Here is an 11,376-nt window from a genome sequence, read left to right on the forward strand (position 1 = left end):
GGAAAATTACTAAAACAATTTTTACAGTTCTATTCTAGAAAAATTTTACCTAAAATATCCAAATGTCATTACTATTATTATTTTTTGAGATGGAGTCTTGCTCTGTTGCCCAGGGTGGAGTGTAATGGCATGATCTCTGCTCACTGCAACCTCCACCTTTCGGGTTCAAGTGATTCTCCCGCCTCAGCTTTCAGAGCGGCTGGGATTACGGGTATGCGCCACCATGCTCGGCTAATTTTTGTATTTTTAGTAGAGGTGGGGTTTCACCATGTTGGCCAGGCTGGTCTTGAACTCCTGACCTCAGGTGATCCGCCCACCTCGTCCTCCCAAAGTGCTGGGATTACAGGCGTGAGCCACTGCGCCCTGCTCAAATGTTATTATTAAGAAGAGTACTAAACAGTCATTCTAAAGATAATTGATTCAAATGCTTACTTTTTGTTACTTTTGCATTGTAGAGACAAACTACATGCAAAAAGAGTGAAAACAAATCTTGTCTTCCATTACATAATTTTATAAATACTTAAATTTTTAAAATTCTTACAGACAAAATGTCTCTTCTTAGAAACAAAGTATTTTTTCCTTATAATTTTAATTAGCCCCTTACTGGAAAAAAGTTATTGTATTTGCCTTTTCTTCACACCAGATAGGTTACTTTTAAAAATGCCCCTTTCCCAAATAAGGTATTGGATTTGGAAAGAAAGGTTTCAAACTAACTAGTTTGAAATCCTCTGAGATTCAGTGGAGTTAAAGCCCTGGTTATAATAGACAATCTACATTCAAAGCACAGGCAGTCCCCAAGTTGCAAATGGGTTATATTCCAAAAGTTAATTTGAAAGTCTGCTGTTTAGAACTTGTAGAGATATTTTGCCACGGAAACAAAGTTCTAAATGACAGTTGAATTTCTAGGCTAGCCCACAAAAGTCTATCTAACCCATAATGTGTCTGAATCCAATTGCTTCAAGGAGAGGTTTGTAACAGAACATAATAGTTTACTGACAGGCTGATTGGTGGCCCACTTTATCAGTATCTCTCAATTTAGCGTTGTTGGCTTGTCGTTTTAATATTTCTTCATTTTATTCCCTAAAGATATATTAGTCGAATAATAATACTTTTCTTTAAAAAGTACTTATTTCATTTCTCATAGTTGTGTAAATTATTTTAGGTCTTTATCTTAAAGCAAGGAATAAATAGATATCCTTTTTTTCCTGTGATAAAAATCAATTTCCTGACTAGGCGCGGTGGCTCACACCTGTAATCCCAGCACCTTGGGAGGCCAAGGTGTGCGGATCAGGAGGTCAGGAGTTCAAGACCACCCTGGCCAACATGGCGAAACCCTGTCTCTACTAAAAATACAAAAATTAGCCAGGCATGGTGGTGGGCACCTGTAATCCCAGCTACTCAGGAGGCTGAGGCAGGAGAATCGCTTGAACCCAGGAGGCAGAGTTTGCAGTGAGCTGAGATTCTGCCACTGCACTCCAGCCTGGACAACAGAGTGAGACTCCATCTCAAAAAAAAAAAAAACAATTTTCTTATAAGGTTTTTGTTTGTTTGATGTCTGTTTTTTTTTAATTTATACAAAGTTAAAATTCCTTTTCTAATGGCAGTAATCTATAAAGATTTTTTTTCCTGTTTGTTTTGTTTTAATGTGTTGCTTATTTAAAATGCCTTTGATAACAACTGTGGCTTGACAAGTAATAATGAAAAGGGACTGTAAACAACAATATCAAATCTTTCCCACTTTTGCCATTTTACTCCTCTGACTCCTGATTAAAAATAAGTGGTTCCAAAATTTCTCATGTGCCAATCAAAGTTCTCCTCAATTTAGGCCAAACTTCTTTTTTTGCCCTGTATCTCCATGCCTTCCATCACAAACGTTTGTGCTGGCTCATTTCTTACCCCCAGGCATACTTGGCATTTTCTCACTTTCATACCTTTGTTAGCTATATTTCCTGTAAGAGTGCTCTACTCTGATCATTCTATTTGAAGCCTATTCTTCAAGGTTCATTTTAAATTTCACCTCTTCTGAGCTAACATGAAATAACGGAATGAATGTGTTAAGAGTTGTTAAAGACAAAGTTATCGAATAATATTTGTCAAAGTATGATAAGGAGGATTTTATTCAGCATGATCATAATAGGTAGAGGGACCACTGCAATGGGGCCTTGTAGCCAGGGAGAGAGATTGGGCACAATTCCCAGTAGAGCATGGGCAAGTAAGAATTTGGAGCCACAGAGCAGTGTGGGGGTCAGCAGGTGTGCCTTGACTTTTAAAAACTTTATAGATAACATCAGGGGTAAGAGTGATTCTGGCTAAACTGACCTAACAGGATTCTTGCTGAAGACAGGCCAGAGTGTTTAGACGTCACCCAAGAGATGAGAAACTTGATCAGATATCAAGGATGATCAGCTATCGAGAATAGGAGTTCTTGCTAAAGTCAATTAGCAGGGTTCTTTGCTAAAACAGAATTTTACAAGGAAGTGCACAGAGGGGCTTAGCAGAAGACCCAGAAGTCTGACTAAGGCTTGGCCCCAAAGACGCTTTGTCGGAGTCATACAGGCCTAAGTATGAATCCCAGCTCTGTCACTTTCTTAGCTGTACATATGTGAATGTAAGTTTAACCACTCACAGCAATGTTTCTCGTCTAAAGAGTGAGACTAATGGTACTTTGATCACAATGTTGTTTTGAACATTAAATAAAATCAGTTAAAATTTAAAAGCACAATGGCTATCTTCGATCATCTCATAGCAACTGATTGCTTGTCTTTGAGCTCTATGGCAAATGTTAGCTGAGCTTTTCATGTCAAATGTTATATCACTGAATATATTTTTGCATGAATGTATTTTGTCTCCATAACCAGGTATTTTAAGTCTCTCTGGTTAAAATCTATTAGTCAAAGTCCTGGCTAGGACTTCAGAAATTAGAAACCATGCTACGTATTTCAGACAGAGGAATTTCATTTAAGAAATTAGTCACATAGATGTTGGAAGACTGAAAGAGCAAATGAGGGATGCTGGAAAAGGTGGCTATCACCTGCAGGGCAGCAGGGCCAGGGGACCAAATGGGAAAATCTAGGAGTATGAAGGAGAGGGGCCCTCATATAGTTAGCACTCAGGTCTTGAGGGAGATGTCCTGTGGTTGGTACTTATGCTGACAAGAGGGCGTGGCTGACTGGTCCTGGTAGCCTTGAAGAAATGTGGCACTGTTTTTTGTTTTTGTTTGTTTGTTTGTTTTTTGAGATGGATTCTCGCTCTGTCACCCAGGCTGGAGTGCAGCAGCATGATCTCGGCTCACAACAACCTCTGCCTCCTGGGTTCAAGCAATTCTCTGCCTTAGCCTCCCCAGTAGCTGGGATTATAGGTGCCCCCAACCCCCACAACGCCTGTCTAATTTTTTTGTATTTTTAGTAGAGACGGAGTTTCACCATCTTGGCCAAGATGGTCTTGAACTCCTAACCTCGTGATCCACCTGCCTTGGCCTCCTAGAGTGCAGGGATTACAGGCTGAGCCACTGCGCCTGGCCAGCACTGTTTTTTTACCCTAGAATTTGAGCATGTTTCAGCACATCTGCAGAACTGGCAGAACAAAGGAAGAAAAAATTCATCCTAAGTGAAGAAAGCTATGAAAAGTTTGCTTCAAGATCAATTGCCCAAGGTTAGAGGAAAAGACTTCATGGAACCATGTTATCTATCCCATGAACTCATGCCTGAGTCCTAGAGCAGCAAACAAATAATATAACTAAATGCTTCACTGTGATGTACACGGGACTTTTGGAACTGAAGACAATATCAACAGGAGATGATGCCTGTGAAAAATGGCGTCTTGGTACAGGCATTAATGCCATTAAAATTAGGAGTTTGCGGCCAGGCGTGGTAGCTCTTGCCTGTAATCTCAGCAGTTTGGGAGGCCAAGGTGGGCAGATCACCTGAGGTCAGGAGTTCGAGACCAGCCTGGCCAACATGGTGAAACCCCGTCTCTACTAAAAATACAAATATCAGCCGGGCGTGGTGGTGGTCGCCTGTAATCTCAGCTACTCGGGAGGCTGAGGCAGGAGAATTGCTGGATCCCGGGAGGCAGATGTTGCAGTGAGCCAAGATCATGCCATTGCACTCCAGCCTGGGCCAACAACAGCAAGGCTCTGTCTCAAAAAAAAAAAAAAAAAAAATCAGGGTTTGGTAGCCTCAGCACAAACAGCATTGCAGTTGGGGAGCATTGTTGCCTTTGGAAGCAGTAAGAGAAAACAATTCAATGAGCCAGAGGAGGAAGACGGTGACTGGGGACTGTTTCTTAAAGTGTTCCTTCCCTAAAAGCAAAGGAAACAAGGCATAGAATACAAAGCAAATCCCTGGGAGTTCTTAGGATCTTCTGAAAGAAATCTGAATGTGGATAGGGAAACGTATGAATACTCTTTAAGACTTTTACTACAACCCTTTTTTTTTTTTTTTTTTTGAGATGGAGTCTCACTCTGTCGCCCAGGCTGGAGTGCAGTGGCATACAACCCTATTTTTACTCTTAGTCTCGTGTAGCTTGGGAAAACGGGCTATATTTGAATATCTTTTTTTGTTTGTTTTTGTTTTTCTTTTCCTTGTTTTTTTCTTTTTTTCTTTTCTTCTTTATTTTTTTGTTTTTGTTTTTGTTTTTGTTTTTTTGGAAACAGGGTCTTGCTCTGTCACCCAGGCTGAAGTGCAGTGGCGGAATCTCAGCTCACTGCAACCTCTGCCTCCCGGGTTCAGGCAATTCTCGTGCCTCAGTTCCCTGAGTAGCTGAGATTACAGGCAGGCGCCACCAGGCTGGGATAATTTTTGTATTTTTAGTAGAGACAGGGTTTCACCACGTTGGCTGGACTGGTCTCAAACTCCTGGCCTAAAGTGATCCGCTCACCTTGGCCTCTCATAGTGCTGGGATTACAGGCATAAGCCACCAAGCCCGGCAAATTTCTTTTGTTTTAAGCTATTAGCTTCTTTAATTTGAAGCTGAATATTTATTTGTTAAAGTCATAGTTTATTATTTTTAAATGAAAATAAGCACTCCAAGAGACTCTGATGAGGGTAGTCCATGGGTCATAATTTGAGCATCTTAGAGCAACCAGCTCAAACAAGAGTCAACTTTCACAAATAAGAATGTTTTTCCTCTCTGTAACATAGAGTTAAACTAGAGTTGGCTCTTTATTTTACCTTCTTTTAGTAATGCTAAGTATTATTAGTAATTAATTTTGACTTTTGTTCTTTTTCGGTATAATAATTCTGGGTTTATGTCTTATATGTACAGTGTAAAGAAAAAATAAAAGCCAAGTTCAGATGTGCCTTGATTTTTAAAAACTTTATAGATAAAAATTTAAAATCAGTAAAATTGGTATTTTATTTCATTAAAAGTCTTCTATTTATAAATGATTTTCCTAGTGTTTCCCATTACTATATGTCATTGTCTTTATCTCAGAGATGCCTGCTTCAATTTTACATTATATTTTAAAATAATAAAGGCAACTTGATCTTTACTTTACCTACCATGAATAGATTGTTGATTTGTCTGATAGTCATAAAATGTGATTTGGTTTAAATATTTACCTCTGAAATTTGAGGACGATCTTTCTTAAGTTTGGTGAATTGTAGCTGGATTTAGAGTATCTGAATTTTCATTTCCTAACTTATTTAAATTTTATTTTTATTTTGTCCAGATTAAAGTCTTATTGTTATCTTGGTAAAGTAGTGCTCTGGTTTTGAAATTTGATTTTTTTGAGGGAAAATAAAAGCCAGGCAGTTGGGGAGTGTTTTTAGAATTCCAAGTCATCCTGTGCCTCATTATTCTTATAGATGCCTATCTCCTTCTTCTGTCTTTAAAATTGATTCATATGTCATCTGGTTATGCTGGATAATGATCGTGGTGTGTTCAACCCCAGGGCTATTATCAAAGCATCCTAAAGTGGTAAAAAAAACATCAAAGAGCTGTTGACAGTCCAAAAGAGAAATATAGAAACTTTATTTTTTCAACCTAGAGAAAATCCTTATAATCTGTCTATTATTGTATAGCCCCTTCAGATCCGGAAGCTATTCAAGAAGTCCTGGCCAGTAACCAGATAAGTCTTTTCCCTTTGGAAGTAACTGTCCCCAGTGGCATTGCTTTGAAACCATATCATTAACATTGACAAATTTGGACTATTAGGATTATCATTTTGTGATTAGGGAATTCCTTGGTCTTTCCTAATTGCCTTCTCTATAGAGAATAAATAATATAAATGACATGGACCATAGATGACCAGTTTTCCTGAACACTTGAGCCAACTCTAGTTTAACTCTATGTTACAGAGAGGAAAAACATTCTTATTTGTGAAAGTTGACTCTTGTTTGAGCTGGTTGCTCTAAGATGCTCAAGGTATGACCCATGGACTACCCTCATCAGAGTCTCTTGGAGTGTTTATAAAATGCAGATTCTTGAATCCAAATCTTGGGGTGAGAAGGGAGTATGTAGTAGAACCACTAAAGCTTAAACAAGTGCCACAGGTGATTTTTATTCATGCCAAAGTTTAAGAACTACTTCTCAAGGACAGTTACTCTTTAGTTTAGGAAAATACTTTAATAAAACATCTTAGTTCTGAAATAAAGCTAAGGTTCCAAGGCTATTCTGTATAAAAGTGAGGACAGAAAACAAACAGCCAAATTGCTTTGAGTAAGAATAAATTAACAAGAATTTGGGAATTGCCGCCCTGGTGTGTTTTTTCTTCTTCTTCTTTTTTTTTTTTAAGATGAAGTTTCGCTCTTGTTGCCCAGGCTGGAGTGCAATGGCATGATCTCGGCACACCACAACCTCCGCCTCCCAGGTTCAAACGATTCTCCTGCCTTAGCCTCCCGAGTAGCTGGCATTACAGGCATGCGCCACCACGCCTGGCTAATTTTTGTATTTTTAGTAGAGACAGAGTTTCTCCATGTTGGTCAGGCTGGTCTCAAACTCCTGACCTCATGATCTGCCCACCTTGGCCTCCCAAAGTGCTGGGATTACAGGTATGAGCCACTGCGCTTGGCCCACCCCTGGTGGTTTTAAAGAGAGGTGGCTTTAGGAGTCCCAGAAATTCAGAAAAATGTAGAGAAGGTTCTTGTTAGGGTGAGGGGCCCACAGCAATATAGTGGCAGGGTGTGATCCGAAAAGAATGATGGCTACTGAGAAATTCCCTGTGGTGGGAATGGCCAACATTAAATGTGAAGTCGCTTCCTATTCTGTGTCTTGTTTCCTTTGCTTTTAGGGAAGGAGCTGTTCCATCCATAGGAAAGCACAGAGTGGGATGGAAACGGGAACAGGATCAGAGCAAGTGTGCACCCTGGCCAAGTTCCTTTCCAAGAATCCTTGGAAATGTGGAGGAAGGTTCTGGATTTTCCCAACCTCACCAAATCACAATTAGCCAGGACATCCTAATCATGTAGCTCACATTTATTTATTGAGCATCAAGCATATACCAGGCATCTTCATACATTATGAAATTTAATCCTGCAAAGTAGGTATTTTATCCTTAGTTTATAGTTGAGGAACTGAAGCCAGAAAGGTTGGATAACAAGCCTAAGATCGATCAATCAATCAGTTAGTAATAGAGCTGCGACTGAAGCCCAGATCTACCTGACTCCAAAGCCTGTCTTTCCTGCTCCACATTATACTACACCCCTTCTCAGAGATTAAAAAAAAAAAAGCTCTGGCTGCTTTAACTGGTGTACCTCCAGGTCAACCACTTCCATCTCCTTCTCCTCTTTCAGATTTGCACCTGTTCCCTAACCAAAGAGAGGAACAACAGCAATAGTGTTCTGTCGGGATCTGTTCAGAGTTAAGGCCACCAATATTGTTCAGAGAATTCAGTCAGCACACCCCTCCCACCTCAATCTGCTGTCCCATCTCTCCTCTTCATCACCAAACTTTTTTTTCCAAACTTTCTAAATAGTCTCCACTTGCTGTTTGACTTCTTCATCTTCGTCTTTCTCTTTAACCCACTGTACTTTGTCAAGAACTATGAAAGGTCTGAGATTTCATCCTCCTTGCAAGCTAATCACTTAACCTGCTATAGTTTCATGGAAGCTGGCAGAAGACGTGGGGCTTTGCAGTCAAAGGGCTGTATTACTCATGGCACAGCAAGCAGCGCCAGTGTCATGTTCAGTCAGTTCCCTTGCCCCCAGGTCTTACCTGGAGCTACATGGTGTGGTTCAGGTGAGTGATGCACCTGCAGTGGGTTTGCCTCACAGCTGAGAAACTCTATCTAAGCTTAGGAAATCCCCAATCTTTTTATAATAGGCTGCAAGAAAACCTGCTTGACCTTTACCTCCAAAGACATTATCTTCACTATATTGGATGGTAAACAAATGTGCCCCTGCTCTTGGCGGGGAGGGGGAGCAGGGCAGGGGACACTATGTATATTTTCCAAGGCAGTTTGACCAAAAAAAAAAAAAAATCCTTGAAAATATAGTCTAAAACAAAAGCTGTTAGTGCCTCTGCTCACAAGACATGCAGAAATACTAGAGTCCCACAGAGAATTGTCTTCCAGCACATTTCTGCATTTCTTCCCACTAGTCATACAGAAGATTGCTCTCTTGAAAATGATCAGTGATCTAATTTCCCGATCTAACAACCTTCTAGAATCCCAGAAATAAACTCATAGGACAATAATCATTCAAGAAATATTTATTGGGTAGCTTCTATGTGCCAGGCACTGTGCAGGCCCAAATAGACATGGTCTTTATCCTAATGTGGGGAGCAACAGACATTAACCTAGTAGTTACACATACCAAAATGTAGTTACAAGCTGTGGTAAGTCATAAGAGGGGAGGGTATATGGTGGTAAGAGAGCTGACATAACAAGGTATCTTGAATGTATCTGGGAGGTCAGAAATGTTTTTCCCAAGGATGTCGCTTTCAAGCTGAGACCTGAAGGATGAGTAAGAGATAGGATAACTAAAGGAGAGAATGGCATGTACATAGAGCCTTTGGTTGTTGGGATCATAGCATTTTTGAGAAACTAAAAGAAGACCAGGAAGTCTGCCCAGGAAACAAGGTGAAAATGGTGTGAGATGAGGCTGGAAAAGGCAGGTAAGGCCAGACCTCGTATGGTCTTTTAGGCTGCCTTAAGAATTCTAGACTTATCCTAAAGCAATGAGAAACTGTTTAAGGAGATTTTTGGAGTAGTGACATAGTCTCATTTGCTTTCTTAGAGGATAATTTTGGCTGCAAAATGGAGACTGAATGGAGGATCCCAGATTGTATACAGTGAGATCGAATTAGATTGGTGGTGATTGGAAAGAAGTAGACCAATTAGATTTTAGAAATAAAATTGCCAGGAGTTAGTGCTGCAACAAATATGGAGAATGGAAGAATGGAGGTGAGGGAGACATCAGCGGTTACTGACTACTAGATATTTGATTTGAATAACTAGAGAGATGGGGGATAAGGAAAACAAGTGTTCATGAACTCAGTTGGACTAAACTTTGCAACTTTGAGATATTAAGTGGCCATGTCAGTGAAGCTTGGAATTTAGAGGTAGGGTCAAACTTTGACTAGTGGATCAGATTTGGAATTTAGAGGAAAGGTCTGGGCTGGAGGCATATATGTGGAGATCACTGGCATATAGATGATAACTAAAGCCATTGGCGTGGGTGATGCTGCTTAGGCCAAGAGATTACAATGAAAACAGAAAAGAATCTAAAACTGAATTTTAAGGTACTGTTATATTTAATAGTTAGGGAGACCAGCAGGAATATGCAAAGGAATCAGAGAAGCAGTGCCTAGGAAACTAAGGAGGAAAACCAAGAAAATGCAGTGTCAAAGGAAGAAGAAATGTTTAAGAAAGAATAGTGGTCAAAGTGTTGAGTATTGTTGAGAGGCCAAGAAAGATGAGGATTGAAAATGGCTCCCATTTTATTGATAAAAAAAAAGTGAAGCATTGAGAAGAGAACTTGTTCAAAGCCAACATAATTTCTTGACCCTCTCTCTGTTCCCAGAGAACTCATACTGGTGCACATGCTAGGGTCATTTATGTGTGGGTTTTCTTCTCTCCAAAGGCCATAAATTCCTTGGTCTTCACTTTACTTCACCTTACTGCATTGCATATTATTGACTACAATCTCTAGGTCTTCAATAACATTCTTAAATTATGTGTTAATCTCCTTCAAAAACAGCTGATCTTCTTTACTCTGCCTTTACATGTAGGCATGTCCCAAACATATTTTTTTAAATATAGTTTTTAAAAGTGCCATGTCTTGGCCTCTCCCTGGACAAAGGAATCAGAATCTTGAGGGGGTAGATTGCAGGATTCTGTATTTTCAAAAAGCTCCTGAGTAGGAAGCAGAGTAGGAAAGTATTAGCTTAGCGGTAAGTTTGGAAACCACTATCTTAGTCTCAGACCAAGCATAGTTGGGCAGTAAGATGGGGAAGCCACCCCATTCGCCCACACTCTGATAAAATCCTCATACTTTGAAACAATATACAGTTATACTTCAATTATTCCAAGATCAACTTGCCAGCTGTCTCGAAGAGGGCCAAATCCAAAAGTTAAGAAAAGGAAACATCTCTCACAGGGAAAGAACTTCTGATAGTGAAGAGCAATGAAAATATCTCAAGATACCACTGCCCTATTTACAACCAGAAGAAAAGAAACCTCTCATTAGCTGGCTGTGGACATAAACATCCCATCAATCTTCACCTGGAGCCGCAGAGAAAACCAGCCGAGAAAGGAGAGAAGAATGAAAAATAAACAGTAAAGCAGAAAGAATAAGAGGAAGGATCAGAGTGGATAGAGGCAGATGAGGAGATGAAAAGCAGTGAAGGATTTTAGAAGAGGTGATGAGAACATTCCAAAGAGGGAAAAAAAGAGAGCACCAAAGTAGGGATTCTATACACCGCAGCAATCCTCTGGGACTTAAACGTATGGCCAAGATATCGGTTTGAGAGTCAGTTATCAACAAAGGATTTAATTAGCCATTGTATTCTTTAAGAATATAGAGAATAATCACATTTTAAAGAGATTTCTGTAAAACAGTTTTAAAAATACAGCTATTTTAAAAGATCGCACAATTAATACACTGAAATAAAGCCCAGACATGCAACTTGTTACATCCATCACCATTTTTGAAAGGACAGTTCCTGAGGCTGGACTCACCGGCCCAAGTACTACCCCCTCCCCAGGTCTCCGGCGGCAACTGTAAGTCAAAAGCCCTCAGGCATTATTGCAGCGTCCCACATTGTTTGAGGTTCCAGGAAGTCGCTGCTACGCTCACTTGTAAGTCTTCGTGCTGTTGTAAAAATTGAGGTCGTGGTTTTCCACGCGATTTGGCTGGCGAAGAGACCACGAAGCCACCCCCCACGTTTTCAACTGAGTAAATATCTAAATATTTTTGCTTGCTATCCAGATCCTGG

At 40.0% G+C, this 11,376-nt stretch overlaps 1 protein-coding gene across 1 annotated transcript in view, besides 1 other annotated feature; it reads left to right on the plus strand.

Moving 5' to 3' along the window:
• Positions 11,062 to 11,121: an enhancer, noted in NCBI's record as "active region_7739". NCBI's record gives its function as "activates an Ori minimal core promoter by ATAC-STARR-seq in GM12878 lymphoblastoid cells {active_cell/tissue: GM12878}" and the evidence as "EXISTENCE:reporter gene assay evidence [ECO:0000049][PMID:35858748]".
• The window catches only part of FNDC3A (fibronectin type III domain containing 3A), a 234,489-nt gene continuing 234,348 nt past the window's right edge, over positions 11,236 to 11,376 (plus strand). Inside the window, exon 1 of the mRNA XM_017020440.3 lies at positions 11,236 to 11,336. The gene's annotated coding sequence lies outside the window, so the exon portion shown is untranslated. The remainder of the gene's footprint in view (positions 11,337 to 11,376) is intronic.

Source organism: Homo sapiens, chromosome 13 (assembly GCF_000001405.40).
Source record: "Homo sapiens chromosome 13, GRCh38.p14 Primary Assembly".
NCBI classification, from domain to species: Eukaryota; Metazoa; Chordata; class Mammalia; order Primates; family Hominidae; genus Homo; species Homo sapiens.